General features: G+C 56.5%; 1 protein-coding gene and 1 long non-coding RNA gene across 13 annotated transcripts in view, besides 3 other annotated features; one reads left to right on the forward strand and one right to left on the reverse strand.

The window, feature by feature from the left end:
- Positions 1–14234, forward strand: part of ARHGAP23 (Rho GTPase activating protein 23) — a 93111-nt gene that overhangs the window by 26713 nt on the left and 52164 nt on the right. For 8 of the 10 annotated variants that reach the window (XR_429909.4, XM_006721991.2, NM_001199417.2 and 5 more), the window contains exon 2: positions 12115–12276. Coding sequence is in view for 8 of the 10 variants with exons in the window: in XM_006721991.2 (XP_006722054.1) it covers positions 12115–12276 (162 nt within the window). In the remaining 2 variants the exon portion in view is untranslated. Of the gene's footprint in view, positions 1–7906; positions 8154–8254; positions 8288–12114; positions 12277–14234 lie in introns of those variants that run through there. The other 2 variants (XM_011525074.3, XM_011525073.2) reach the window with 2 other exon arrangements.
- Positions 3049–3990: an enhancer, noted in NCBI's record as "H3K27ac-H3K4me1 hESC enhancer chr17:36605280-36606221 (GRCh37/hg19 assembly coordinates)". NCBI's record gives its function as "activates a minimal SCP1, AML or CMV promoter by ChIP-STARR-seq in naive H9 embryonic stem cells {active_cell/tissue: H9 hESC(naive)}" and the evidence as "EXISTENCE:reporter gene assay evidence [ECO:0000049][PMID:30033119]".
- LOC101929494 (uncharacterized) lies at positions 4407–6444 on the reverse strand. Of its 3 annotated transcripts, none has more exons than XR_429962.4 (4): positions 6331–6444; positions 5639–5840; positions 5319–5406; positions 4407–4736 (listed from the first exon to the last, which is right to left on the reverse strand). It is a non-coding gene; the product is annotated as an uncharacterized LOC101929494 (long non-coding RNA). The 3 variants fall into 3 exon arrangements; XR_934733.3 differs by having other exon boundaries at positions 5319–5538; XR_429965.4 differs by lacking the exon at positions 5319–5406.
- Positions 4932–5873: an enhancer, noted in NCBI's record as "OCT4-NANOG-H3K27ac-H3K4me1 hESC enhancer chr17:36607163-36608104 (GRCh37/hg19 assembly coordinates)". NCBI's record gives its function as "activates a minimal SCP1, AML or CMV promoter by ChIP-STARR-seq in naive and primed H9 embryonic stem cells {active_cell/tissue: H9 hESC(naive and primed)}" and the evidence as "EXISTENCE:reporter gene assay evidence [ECO:0000049][PMID:30033119]".
- Positions 12056–12221: a silencer, noted in NCBI's record as "fragment chr17:36614287-36614452 (GRCh37/hg19 assembly coordinates)". NCBI's record gives its function as "represses an EF-1alpha promoter that drives an FKBP-Casp9 reporter gene in an ReSE screen in K562 erythroleukemia cells {active_cell/tissue: K562}" and the evidence as "EXISTENCE:reporter gene assay evidence [ECO:0000049][PMID:32094911]".

Genomic DNA, 14234 nt, shown 5'->3' on the forward strand with positions numbered 1-14234 from the left:
CATCCACATTGTAGCATGTGTCAAATATCTTTCTTTTTTTTTTTTTTTTGAGACAAGGTCTGGCTCCCCTAGGCTGAGGTGTAGTGGCGCGATTTCAGCTCATTGTAACCTCCATCTCCTGTGCTCAAGCCATCCTCCCACCTTAGCCTCCCAAGCAGCTGGGACTACATGTATGTGCCACCACACCTGGCTAATTTTTTTTTTTTTTTTTTTTTTTGGTAGAGATGTTGTTTCACCATGTTGCCCGGGCTGGTCTAGAACTCCTGGGTTCAAGTAATCCTCCCACCTCAGCCTCCCAAAGTGCTGGGATTACAGGTGTAAGCCACCCCGCCTGGCCTTCACTTATTTTAAAAGGCTAAATAATACAATTATTATTATTCATATCATGTATGTATTATATGTAATACAATAATACAGACAATTTCATTGTATAGATATACCTCATTTTATTTGTCCATTCATCCGTAGATGGACACTTGGGTTGCTTCCATTTCTTGGCTGTTGTGAATAACACTGCTACAAACATGGGTGTACAAACATTTCTTCTAATCCCTGCTTTCAGTTGTTGTGGATATATACCCAGAAGTGGAATTACTGGATCATATGGTAATTCTGTGTTTAATTTTTTTTTTTTTTTTTTTGAGACGGAGTTTCACTTTTGTTGCCCAGGCTGGAGTGCAACGGCGCGCTCTTGGCTCACTGCAACCTCCGCCTCCCTGGTTCAAGCGATTCTCCTGCCTTAGCCTCCTGTCCATGTTTAATTTTTTGAGAAACTGCCATACTGATTTCCATAGCAACTCCACCATTTTATTTATTTATTTTTTATTGCTTTTTTAGAGAGGGAGTCTTCCTCTGTGGCCCAGGCTGAAGAGCAGTAGTGTGATCATAGCATCATAGCTCACTGCAGCCTCCAACTCCTGGGTTCAAGGGATCCTCCCACCTCAGCCTCCCAAGTAGCTGGGACTACAAGTGTGTGCCATCACGTTTGGCCAATTTTGCATTTTTTATAAAGATGGGGTCTCTATATGTTTCCCAGGCTGGTCTTGCACTCCTGGCCTCCCAAACACTGGGATTACAGGTATGAGCCACTGTGCCTGGCCACAGACACACCATTTTACATTCCCACAGCAATCCAATTTCTCCACATCCTCACCATTAAGAAATAATTTTTGAGCTGGGCATGGTGGCTCATGCCTGTAATCCCAGCACTTCGGGAGGCCGAGGCGGGTGGATCATTTGAGGTCAGGAGTTCGAGATTAGCCTGGCCAACATGGTGAAACCCCATCTCCACTGAAAATACAAAATTTAGCCGGGCGTGGTGGCACGTGCCTGTAATCCCAGCTACTCGGGAGGCTGAGGCAGGAGAATCACTTGAACACAGGAGGTGGAGGTTGCAGTGAGCCGAGATCTCGCCACTTCACTCCAGCCTGGGCAACAGAGACTCCGTCTGAAAAAAAAAAAAAAAAAAAAAAAAAAAAGAAATAATTTTTGAGAGCCCGCTATGCACAAAGCTCTCTAGGAGGGCAAATCCATTCTGAAAACCCAGCAGCCATTGTCCTTAGGGAGCTCTCAGTCTAAGGGGGAGACTCAGGCCAGGCCCTTGGGCATCCTCCAATCTGAGGGGAAAGACACAGGCCATGCCTTTTGGGAGACCCTAGACTGATGTGGGGCAAAAATCCCTTGTTTTCAAGGAGCACACAGTCTGATGGAGGAGGCATAGCTTCTTCCCTTTGAGGAGTCTGCAGACAGGCCTAGAGACCAGAATGGAGACCCCAGAGACAGCCAAGGGCTGCTGAGTGGGTAAATCAGGGGTACGGAGGGGTTGTGGTAAGCCCTGTCCCAATGCCAGCCTGCTGTTGCCTGGGCAATGGCCCTGGTGTTTACTTTGTGGCTGGCTAGACGCACCCTTTTCTGTAAGTGCTCATTTCCCACCAAGAGGAAAGAGGCTCCTCTTTAGTTTCCCCTTCCTCTGTTGTCCCTGAGGGAGGAACTGGCCCTCCTCTGGCACTGGAGACCCTGCCAGCCTGGCACCTTTGCCATGCTCCTTGCCTGCTGGGAGAGGCCCCATCCTGGGGTCTCATGTTGCCCACCCCTTCCCTACTCCCAGAGGGCCCATAAGGTAGTGCTCTGGGCTTGCCAAAGTTCAGCCAAGGAAGTGGGAGATCCTACTGAATCCTCCCTGCTTGGGAGGAACTGGGGCACGTCAAGAGCCTGTAGGAACCTGAGGCTGGCAGTGGGAGGTGGGGGTGATGCCGGGAAGGATGAGCTTGCCTGGGTCTATGAGCGTCCACATGTGTCACCGTGTCTTTGTGTATCCATGGCTGAGTGTCTGCATGTCTGAATGTCAGTGTGACTGTGATGACTATCCAAAAAGCCGTCGAAACAGCCTGCATTTATTAAATCCCTACTATGTGCTCTGAGCCTGTGCTAAGACTTTCTTTAATTTACTTAATCCTCCCAACAACCTTTGAGGTGGAAATACATGTCATTACCATTTTATTGATGAGGAACCAAGGCTTAAAGAGGTTAAGTAACTCACCCAAAGTCTCATATCTAGAAAGTGGTAGAGATAGGGCTCTGACTCAGCCTCCAGAGGACTCCAGATCCCGTGTGTCAGCCCCTGAGCTGTGCTGCCACTGAAAGAACTTGGGGAGTTTTTTTTTTTTTTTTTTTTTTGAGACAGGGTCTTGGTCCGTCACCCAGGCTGGAGTGCAGTGGCGCGAACACAGCTCACTGCACCCTTGACTTCCTGGGCTCAAGTGATCTTCCCACCTTAGCCTCCTGAATAGCTGGGACCAGAGGTGCACGCCACCATCCCCGATTAATTTTTAAATTTTTTGTAGAGATGGGGTCTTGCCAAGTTGCCCAGCCTTTTTTTTTTTTTTTTTGAGACCGGGTCTCACACTGCAGCCTTGACCTCCCTGGGTTCAGGTGATCCTCCCCACCTCAGCCTCCTGAGTAGTTGAGACCACAGGCATGCACTACCACACCTGGCTAATTTTTATATTTTTTGTAGAGACGGGGTTTCGCTGTGTTGCCCAGGCTGGTCTTGAACTTCTGGGCTCAAGCGATCCTCCTGCCTTGGCCTCCCAGAGTGCTGGGATTATAGGCATGAATCATCATGCCCAGACAGATTTTGAGGATTTTGTGCATTTGGCATTATCTCAGCCCACCTCCCTGATGGTGGTGGGATGTCTGGAGTGACAAGTGCTTCCTCATCTCCCTTCCCAGGCTTCCGTGGCTCTGGCCTAGTTTGAGGGAGAGGGAGCACAGTCCATCCTAACCCTGGGCAAGAGTGGCCCTACAGGGGAAGAGCACTGGGTCTGGGGAGACCCTGGGAACCATCCCCTACCCGTGGGCCAGACATAGTGCCAGTGCGGGGTGCCCAGGTTCCCGGTGATGGGGGTTATGTGTACATGGAGGGCGCTGCGGAGACACAGGCTTGCTTGGCCGGCTCATCAACTTGGCCTGCTGGGGCTTGTCAGGCGGGAGTCTCTACCCAAGCAATGCTGGGAACCAGGCATCTGAATGGGGCAAAAGGGTGGAAGAGGCCTGAGGGGGCCGCCGCCCTTGACTGAGGAGACTGGAGCAGGGTTCAGAGGCCCAGGCGTGGGCGGGGCGGGCATGTGTCAGTATCGCATTGCCTGCATGCCTGGGATGCACGGATCTGTGGTGGGATTTGCCCTGTCTGTGTGCGAGGTTGTGGAGTGGTCATGGGTCTGCGTTTGGTGGTGTGCAACTGGTGTACAGGACCAGATGGAGCTTCAAACATGCTGGATGACTCTCTTGGGGTGGGGGCATTGTTTGTCACCTGGCAGTTTGGGGCCCACATTCTGGGAAGAGTGCTGAGCAAGCTGGAGGAAGGAAAAGCAGGCAGAATCGACCCTGAGCCCCTCTCTCACTTCCTTAACCACACGCCCTGCAACACGTCAGTTTCCTTCTTGCTCCTATCTCTGACCCTTGGGACTCAGGACGCTCTCCTCCCCTTCCCCAGTGCCTACTTGCTTCTACTCCTCCAGTCCAGACCATCCTCTCCTGTGAGGGATAGCCTGGGAGGTGTCTGGCCCCACCCTCAAAAAACTGTCACCTCCCAGAGAGAAGAGGCCCTGTGCACCTGAGAGCAGGGCTCCCTTGGTTTGTGGGGGTCTCCCTTGGTGGGGGTGAAGGCAGCCGGCTTTGGCCAGAGTCTAGAACTTGGGGATCCCTAAAGGTTTCAGGAGCTGGGACAATATTCCTGAAAGACTCTCCAAAGTATCTCAGCTCCTGGCCCACAGCAGGTACTCAAGATGTGGTTAAACAAGAGGGTAATGGAAAAGGATCTGGTAAGCGGTTAGAACCCTGGGATCTGGTCCCAGCTTAGTGAAAATGAGTCCTTGAACTAGTCACTTGTTCTCTTTGAGCCTCAGTTTCTTTTTTAAATTTTATTCTTATTTATTTATTTATTTTGGGACAGGGTCTCACTCTGTCTCCCTGGCTGGAGAGCAATCTCTGCTCATTGCAACCTCTACCTCCCAGGCTCAGGTGATCCTCCCACCTAAGCCTCCTGAGTAGCTGAAACTACAGACACGTGCCACCACACTTGGCTAATTTCTGTATTTTTTGTAGAGATGGGGTTTCGCCATGTTCCTCGGGCTGGTCTCAAACTCCTGGGCTCAAGCGATCTGCCCACCTTGGCCTCCCAGTGCTGAGATTGCAGGTGTGAGCCACCACGCCTGGCCAAGCCTCAGTTTCTGTAACTGAAAAACGGGTATCAAAAAAATCTCTGGTTATCTGATTCTTAGGGTGTCAAATGAGAACAAGTGAAAGTGCTTTCAAATGGTAAAAGACAATGATCTCTTGGAAGGAGGGAAGACTGGATGCCCTCCCTTTGGGGATGCAGCCTTCAAGCCCCTCCCCAGGGACCCTCAGGAAGATGAGGTTGAATGGATTTTGCAAGCTGGTCAAACTAGAGGGGGATGGAAGGGGCAGCTCAGCAGGGTAATTTCTGATGCAGGGGGAGGAAGCTGGGCAGGGCGTGGGGGGAGGACTCATGCTAGGCAGGAAGGCTTGGAATAGAATCTCAGCTACGCCTGGTATTTCCCAGCCCTGGGCCCCCTCCGCCACCACCCTCTGGGGCCCACCCCACATTCCTTTCCCAGAGGAAATGGGGGAGGGAGCGGAGAGGCTCCCCAGGCCTGGAGGATCATTTATTCAAGCTACATAACCTTTGAGGCCCCACTGTGTGCACTCTCCCCCTGAAGTCCCCACAGAGGCAGCTGGGTGTGGAGGTGGTGGGGGTGGGGAAGGAAGGTGTGGTTTGTGTTGGAGGAATCTGTTACCTCCTTGGCTGGGCCTTGCTCCCCTGCCAGGTTAGAGGGCAGGAAATGGACATTGTATATGGTTGATCCTTTCCAAGGTCTCTGCAGTCTGAACACAGAAAACCCATGTTGCGTCTCCACCTCTCTCCTCCCTGCTGTCCCAGAACCCTCAGCGGTTTTGAATTCCGCAGAGGTGGATTCTTGATCTGGGCACACAGCAGCACCTGTTGGCCATCAGAGGCTCCATGGGGGATGAGAGGGGAGAGTCATTCCATTTCCTTAGAACCAGGGACTGGACTAGCAGCAAGAGGAATGCAAGTTAGGCACCTGAAAGGACTTACTGGCTGCTTGCTGGGAGGAGAGGCCAGACTTGGAGCTGAAGACATCTGGTTGCCCTCCGCCTGGGGCCCCAGAGTCTGACATGGCTGGGGACATCTTGATGGTGGTTCCAGCTGGTCTAGGAGGGTCTGGCCTTTGGAGAGTATGACGGAGTCACAGGGCAGGTCAGGGCAGGAGTGGTCCCAACACCGAATCCTTAGTTTTCTAGCGATGGAAGTGGGGCGGGAGAGGGTGCCAATGGAGATGGCGCGTCCTGCTCTCCCCGGCTGCAGTCCTTTCCCGCTCTCCCCCTAAGCTCTCCTGACTCAGCTCGTGGCAGCCTCACTCTTCCCATCTGGCTTCCGCCAGGGTGGGGGTGGGGGGTCCAGCTCTTGCACGGAGGGGGAGCCCAGCAAACAGGAAACAGGAGAACAAAACCAGCTCCCTGGCTGACACAGGCAGCCGCCCCCACACGCCTCACCCTCACCCTTCCTCTCTCTTCCTCCTCCCTCCCTTGATCCCGACCTCCCTCGTGGTCCGCTCTGCTCCCTTCCCCCTCCCCTCCCACCTCCGTCCCCTAGGCTCCCTTCCCGTCCCTTTGCTTCTCCACCTTCTGACACTTTGTTGTCTGCTGCCTTCCCCTCCCTCTGCCCCCAGGCCCCTCCCCATCTCTGTCCCTCCATCTCCCCCCCAACCCCCTTGCTGGATTTCCTACCTCCCCATTGGGCCACCCTCCCGCAGGTTCTTGCTGGGGACAGTGGATGGTGGAATGGGAGGGAAGGGGAGCTGCATCTGCTTGGTGCTCCCTTCTGGTAGCTGCCTCAAAAAGGTCCAACCCTTATGACGCTTCCTCCTGGACTCCTCCTAGATTCAGGAGTGGGGTTGGGCTGGAGCTGCCCCGCTTTCCTGGCTGCTGGCTAGGATTTTGGTGTAGGATAGAAGTTGGGATGAGAGGCCCTGGGGTTGGAGTCCCGGTGCTGCCATAACAAGCTGGGTCCTCTTGGACCTCAGTTTCCTTCTCTACAAATGAGGCCATAGAAATGGCCCCGGGCCACAGTAAGTGGCTGTGGTGATATTGTTGGTGAACAGTCAAGTGGGCTAGAAATGGTGATGGTGATTACACATCCACTAGCCAAGGCCTCTGCTAGCCCCATCCGGATGGGGCCTGGGAAGAGCAAGAGCCAGGAAGGCGAGCAGGGCAGGGGCTAGCACAACATGGCGCTTCCCATCTGGCTCACATGCCAGGGGGTGGGAGAGGGGGCAGCTTTGAATGATTGTCAGCTTGTAGTGACCCTCTAGGTAGAGCTAATGGGTAGGGAGTCCTGGGAAGGAGGGTGGTTCCCACAGGGGTGTTGGGGACTCCATCTGCGCTTAAGAGTGTGTGGCTGTCACTCTGTGCAGGGCAGTGTGTGTAGCACTCGAGGGGCTGTGGCATCCATGCCTGGAGTGCCTGAGCTGTGCAGTGTGTGCGTGGCATCTGCCATGTTGTGGGGGTCCCTGTGGGGTATGTGTGGAGTGCGTGGGTGGGTAAATGTGGGTCTGGTGTGCTTGCACATGCATCTCTCTGAGTATGTGGACCGTATACACTTGGGCGGATGTCTGAGGTGTGTGTATACGATGTGGAAGAGTGTCCTGTGTGTGTGGGGGGGATAGTGTGTTTCTGGGGTATGTCCACATAGGGTGAGTGTGTGTGGGCAGGTGGATGTGTGTGGTGCGGGTCTGTACAGAGTGGGTAGGGTGTGCAGCAGAGTGAGGGACACCTGGAGCATGTGTGGCTGTTTCTCTGGGTGGATGGGGCTGATGCGCGCGCGTATGCGTGCGTGTGTGTGTGTGTGTGTGTGTGTGTGTGTGTGTGTGTGCGCGCGCGCGCTGGAAGGGTGCAAGGTGTGCGGGCCGGGGGAGAGTGCGTGTCTGGGTCCAGGGCTGCCGTCTGCGTGTGAGGGTGCGAGGGTGTGGTCGTGCGGGGGACTGTGTAGTGCCCTGGCGTGTGGGGTGTGAGTGTGAGATCTGGGCGGCCGCGGACAGGGGCCGCCCCGGAGGGGGAGGCGTCAGCCCTGCGAGACTCGCGGGCGTGTCGGGGCTCGGGCGCCTTCAGCCGGGAGGCGCAGGAGGCGCGGAGCCAATCCAGCCGTCCTGCCGCCGTCCGCGCGGGCCGTCCGTCCCTTCGGGGCCCCCGGGCCCCGGGCCCGCGGCTCCGGGGGGCGGGCGGGGACCCCCGGGGCCCGCCGGCCGCCCGGGGGGTCGAGGACGCCGTCTGCCGGGCGCCTAGCAGCGGCCCCGGGCCCCCGCGCGGCGCGCGCGTCTCCGGAAGCCCGGCCTGGGGCGTACTGGGGCCGGGGCAGTGGCCGGGCCCGGGAGCCCCCGCCGGCCGCGGAGCTGGTGGGCAGCGCCGTGTGGCGCGTGGAGCGCGCGGGGGCCGGGGGCTGGCGCTGGGAGCGCGCCGTCGGCGTGGACTGCAGCGCCCCGGAACCGCGCTGCCTCTGGCTGCCCTGCCTCAGCCACAGCGACCGCCGCGCGCCCGGGCCGCGCCGGGCCAGGGTGAGAGCCGCGGGGCCGGGGCCGGGGCCGGGGCAGGCCTTGTCGGGGTCTGAGTGGGACTGGGTCACCAACTCCCTGCGGCCTTTGAGCTGTGTGCGCCCTGCATTCCAGGACTGATGCCCCTGGAACGGGGAGTGAGTGAGGCACTTGAGAGATGGGGCTGAGGGTGGCAGGATTTGTGGCTTGGAGCTCTGCCAGGGCTTCTGGGATGACAACCCCCAGTCTGGGTCGAGGCCTCCACGGGGCTCAGCCCTCTCGGTTTCCAGGCAGTGGAAGGATGGAAGGGACCAGAGCGTTTGAAGAGACGCTGGGGCTTCTAGGAATCCCAGAGGGTATGGGTGGGCAGGGACCCCGAGTTCCGAGGCAGGCAGAGGCACCACTGAATGGAGCAGGGCCCACGACCCACCCCACCCCTGGTAGGGGACCTGGACACGGCACACGAGGGTTTCCTAGTGGGCAGAGGAGGCTGAGTGGCAGACGGGCCCCTGCAGGTAGTGAGTGCTCTCAGGGCTGACAGGGCTGGGCTGGGGGACTGCCGTGTTTCTGATGTCCGGGATGGACCAGGCTGGTAGGGTGTGAGTCACAGTGGGCGCCATGCCCGGCCTGAACACTGTGCTCCCTGCAATGACCTCTTTATGCTCCCGGGGGGAGGAGCAGGGCTCCTGGGTTCTAGTTTCTGGTGCTGCCAACCCACCACGTGTCCACCTCTGCCTAATTTGTGGCCTAAGGCCGTCTGCCCTGCTGTCACCATCAGCTGGTATTTTTGGACGTCTCTTTCTTTCCTGACATGAGGGTGGGAGTGTTTGGAAATAGATCCAGGCCAGGAGAATTTAATCAGCAATGTCCCTGTGTCCCCTGAGCAACTCCCTCTCAGTCCCCTTGTCTCTGTGCCTAAGTCAGAGAGGCAGAGCTGTGTGTGTGAGCTGTGCACCTTTCTAGTTGTTATCAATGGCTCCTTCTGTGGTTTTTGCACCTATCACTTCCCCCACCTCAAGATGAGAACAAGACTCAGTTCTGTCCCAGGTCACAGGGGAGGAGAGGAAACATGCATGTATTATAGCATGAAGGATTGAGGTTAAACAAGGAAGAACTTCCCACAGGGGAGATGCCAGCTCTGGCTTTTGATGGGTGTCCTGGTGTCTCCTCTTCAAGCAGGTGTGTGGTAGCTGTGGCTGTGTGGTAGCTGACATTCTCAAGAGCCTAGTTGGAAGAGGTGGGAGGAAGGGGACTGGAAGGAAGGAACAGAGGAAAGGGAGAGGTAGAGATAAGGGAGGGAATGCTGGTAGTGCTTGGTGAGGAGGGGACCCGGAGAGGAAGGCATGCCTCCTACCCTGGATTCCATGCAGGCCCTCCCAGGGAGCAGCCCCCCCAGGCAGCTGGCAGCTCCAGGCAGGATGTGTGCTGGGGGAGGGGCGGGGGGCGTGCGGGGACCTGTCCCAGCCACTTCTCGTCACTGGGGCAGCTGGTGGCTTGAACCTTAATCCAGGACAGCAGCAAAACAATGGGCCCTGCAAACAGCCTCAGCTCTGAGCCTGGGTGGGGGACAGGCAGGGGGCAGCCCACACTGGGGAGGAGCAGGGGCTTCTGGTAGGAGAGGGCAGTTGGTGAGGGGACCCCCAGACCCTTTTCGCTCCCTGATCAGTTCCTTGCCAGGTCAGCAGAGATGGGAAATCCGGGGGATTTCAGACCTCAGCAGAATTCCCAGAGAATTTTCTCCTCTGGGCTCCCCAGGCCCCCATGGGGGTGCAGGGCACCGTGGGAGAGACTGGGCTAAAGCTACAGGTGGAAGATGCTGGACTACCCCTGATGTCAAAACCCCTGCTGAGACCTCCTGGACTGGGGGTCTTCCAGCTTTTACGTGGCCCCTGTCTGGTAGGGGGCACTCATAGCCTCATCTGGGTAGTTTTCCAGACCGTATAGGAGTAGAACAGTCTAGAACGGTCTGTCTCCCTTGCCTGGAGCTCCACTCAGCCTCTTGTATATTCCACCTGGCTCTGTCCCCTGGGGCTGTATGAAGCAAGCCTATAGCCTATTGTCTCTGTCACATTTTTCTTTAATCTTCTGAGATGGGAGGATCTAGCCTCTTCCCCAGACCTGCTCGACAGCAGCCAGGCTCTCCCCCATGCGGAAATCCTTAGCAGAGGGCAGCTGTCTCCCTCCACTGGGTGTGTGGACAGGAGGGTGGATGGTCCATGAATGAACTTATTGGCATCAGGACATTTGAGCTTTCTCCAGCTACGAGAAGGGGACAAAAGGGGATGTTGCTAGTGAAGCGGGAGCTCCTCACTCCAGAACTGATGAGCTTCTTCCTCCACACCCAGCCCCTCAGCCTTTCTCCTGTCAGCTGATGCTTCCTGCCTGGTGCCGAGGAGGAGTTGAGGGGAGTAAGGAGTGTTGGTGGTGAGGGCTTTTTGCCCTCTGAGGGGCTTGGACTAGGGGCAACATAGAGGTTAGGCCACATGATGTTATGGATTTAAGAGTCCTCTAGGGGTCCTCTTGGCTTTTCAAAGCCAGGCAGCTTCTCCGTGGCTCCCATCTTCCCCAGTTGGGCTCCGTGAGCACCCTCTATCTGACACCCTCCTGTCACCCACCTTCCCTCTCTGTGTCCCAAAGGGAGCCCTGTCTCAGGCACTGTTTTTCTTCTTGCCCCAGAAACAGACCTGTGTGCCCCCTCCAAACTCTTGTCTTCAGATACCCTCTGCCACATCATCTTGGAGAATCCTGAGAATTTTGGGAGGTCTGACAGGAGGCTTTAGTGTCTCTGAAACCTCCAGCCTTTTTTTTTTTTGAGACGAAGTCTCGCTCTGTCACTAGGCTGGAGTGCAATGGTGCGCTCTCAGTTCACTGCAACTTCTCCCTCCTGGGTTCAAGCGATTCTCCTGCCTCAGCCTCTTGAGTAGCTGGGATTACAGGCGCCAGCCACCATGCCCGGCTAATTTTTGTATTTTTGGTAGAGACAGGGTTTCACCATGTTGGCCAGGCTGGTCTCGAACTCGCCTTGGTCTCCCAAAGTGCTGGGATTACAGGTAGAGACAGGATTTTACCATGTTGGCAAAGGCTGGTCTCCACCCGCCTTGGCCTCCCAAAGTGCTGGGATTACAGGTGTGAGCCACCGCGCCCAGCCACCCCAAGCCTTTCTGGTGAACCAGCCAGGCCTCTGGGCTGGGCTCTGGAGCCTCAGGAAGTCCCTTCAGGTGTCTGATGTCCAGTCCGCTCCCTCTTGTTTCTTGGTTCCCCCTGTGTTCCTGCTGCTGTTCTTGAAGGATGCGTGTGTGCCGGTCTGCTGTGCATGTGTGTATCTGCATGTCTGTGATGCATGCGCATGCGTCTGTATGTGCATTGTGTGTGCAGGACTTTGATTCTGTGCAACTCTGTGCATATCTATGTGTCTACAAAAGTGTGCACATGTGTACTCATTTGTGTGTGTGTATCTGTGTGTCTGCATATTTGCACATGCTTGTCTGTATGTTTGTGGTATGTTCCGTCTACATGAGTGTATGTGGCTGGGGCTGTGTCTGCATAAGTATGTGTCTATCTGGGAGTGCATATATGTGTGCATGTGTGTGTGTGAGATTGTGCATGAGCTAAGACAACGACAGGCACTTCCTGGGCAGGAAGGCTGTATCCAGGGTCCTGCACATAGTAGGTGCTCAGTGAACATTTGCTGAACTCAGCTGAACTGAACTGAATGAACTTGCTTCAGTGAGTTATTTTCCCAAGGGCAAAGACATTATGAGGGGACTGAGGGGAAAGGAAAGAAGGAAAAAGCTATTGGGCTGATGAAGGTGGGAGAGTAAGGAAGGGGTGAGGAGGAGGTCATGGGCAGGGAGGATGCCTGGCAACCCTAGGGCGAAAGACCCCTTCTGGTGCCCCTCCGGTCCTGTGGGCTGCAGGAGGTGGTGCAAACAGCCAGAAGTGTCAGCCACACGGGCGCTCAGCCTGGCCTCTCTGTCTCCCACAGCTGCCACTGGGCCCAAGAGATGGGTGCTCTCCTAGGCGCCCCTTCCCCTGGCAGGGGCCGAGGACGCTGCTGCTGTACAAAAGTCCCCAGGACGGCTTTGGCTTCACTCTGCGCCACTTCATCGTGTACCCACCCGAGTCGGCCGTGCACTGCAGCCTGAAGGTATGCCCGGCTCGCCGCTGCCCTGGTCTGGGGAAGCTTTCATGAGGGAGGGAGACTCTTTTGTGCCAGTCCCCTTCATGGTCCTTTCACCCTCTCAGAGAGGCAGTCCTTCCTGGGGTCCGGCCTGACTCCCTTCTGCTGTGGCCTGGGGAGGAGGACTGCAGGGAGGCAGTGCCAGCCTTGGCTGGGTTATTTGTACTGTGTGACCGTGGACAAACACTTGAATCACTGTGGCCTGGGGCTTCTCAGGAGACAGGGAGGGGTGGCTGGTGCAGGGCAAGGACCTTGCAGGTGGGCAGCCAGGATGCTCACCTCACACCCCCAGACGCTTGTCTCTGGCAGGTGAACAGTTGTCTGGGAGTTCCTGGGACCCCTGATCTACCGGCTGCTTCTGAGCTGGGGTTGCTCCTCCCCTCTCCAGCGTGAGCTCTCAGGGGCCTAGCCCACCTGTGGGAGCCCTCCCAGCACGCCCCTGGCCCCTGCTGGCCACAGCTCAGTGCGCTGGAAACAGACCCAGGCTGGGACACAGGAGCCCAGAGTTCCGGTCCTGGGACAACTCCTCACTCATTGTGAATTTGGGGCTGCCTCCCCATCTCTGGGCTCCATTTCTCCTGCTGGAACCTGAGGACATTTATCAACTTGACCCCTCAGAGTCCCTCCTGCCCTAATGTAAACGTTGTGTTCTCTGAGTCCAGGAACCAGGGGTCCTGACCCCAATCCAAGGCTGTGAGCTAGGGGGAGGGGTCCCTGACAGCGAAGCAGAAGTGTGGGAAGAAGACAGAAGGGGCCCCAGGGAGCAACCAAAGCCCCCGACTAGGGCTCTGCTCCCATCACCACTTCTTTTCCAGCAGGGAGGAGACACTGATTTTGCAGTGAATGAACCCCTCTATCCACTTTCCCTAGGACCGGGATCTGCCTGTACAGCTATTGGGGGACTCCCCCTTGGTCCCACCTATCAGAGAACCAAACAGGGGACTTCACTGTCTGTGTTCGTGTGCTCACATGTCTCTCTGTGTGCATCGCGTGCTGGCCATGGACATGCATGTGTGTATCTCTCTGTGTGCATATAGTGTCTGCAAATACATGTCATGTGTACATGTAACTGTGCAGCTCTCACATGCATGCCGGAAGCTCTGGGGCTCCTGCATAACTGTTCTCATTGGCTACAGCTGTGCTGAAGAACATAAGTGGGGGCTGATGGAGTGTGGAGGGGGCACAGACCCCTACTTCATGCCCAAGGACACCAGCCCCTTAGTTCTCCGGAACCCCCAGTACTTCCTTCACTCTTTCCCCAGAATGCCCCTCCTGCTGCCCCCAGCATCTTCTCTCAGGAGACCCTGCTGAAGCGTGACAGCATAGAGTCTAGGGCTGGAAGACCTAGGGCCAGGCAAGCCAGGGACAGGCTGCCTCTCCTTTCCAGAACCTGCCCAGGGCTGGGAGGGGCCTTTGGCCTGGAGGCAGGAGGAGGCTGTGTTCTCCCGTCCTTCATGCTGCCACCTGGCAGCCTGCAGGGAGCTCAGCCGTCCAAATGCATCTGTCTGCCTCTGCCACTCTCTCGCAGTGCTGTCAGCTTGCATCAGCCGGAGTGCACCCCACACAGGAGGACGGGGGCAGAGTGCTTGCTCCCCAGAAGGGCCCAGCAGCTTTCCTGTGACCCACCCTGTCCTCATTGGGGTGCCACAGAGGCCTGGGTTCCAGCCCTGGCTCTGCCACTGAGTCTCTGAGTGGCCTTGAACACACCATACCCTGCGAGCTATACAATGGGTACATGTGTGGAGAGGGTTAGAAGAGATGACGCTGAAGGTCTGATCCAGCTCTAAAATGCCACATCCAGCTGACTTAGCCTGTTCCTCTGACCTCCATGCCCTCCTTCCTCATTCCCCCACAAAGTCTAGTGCCATCACCTACCAGGTGATCCCAGAGGCCTCCCAGTGGGTCCCCTTGACACCCTGCACCCA

The sequence above is a fragment of the Homo sapiens genome, chromosome 17, assembly GCF_000001405.40.
Source record: "Homo sapiens chromosome 17, GRCh38.p14 Primary Assembly".
In the NCBI taxonomy this organism is placed as follows: domain Eukaryota; kingdom Metazoa; phylum Chordata; class Mammalia; order Primates; family Hominidae; genus Homo; species Homo sapiens.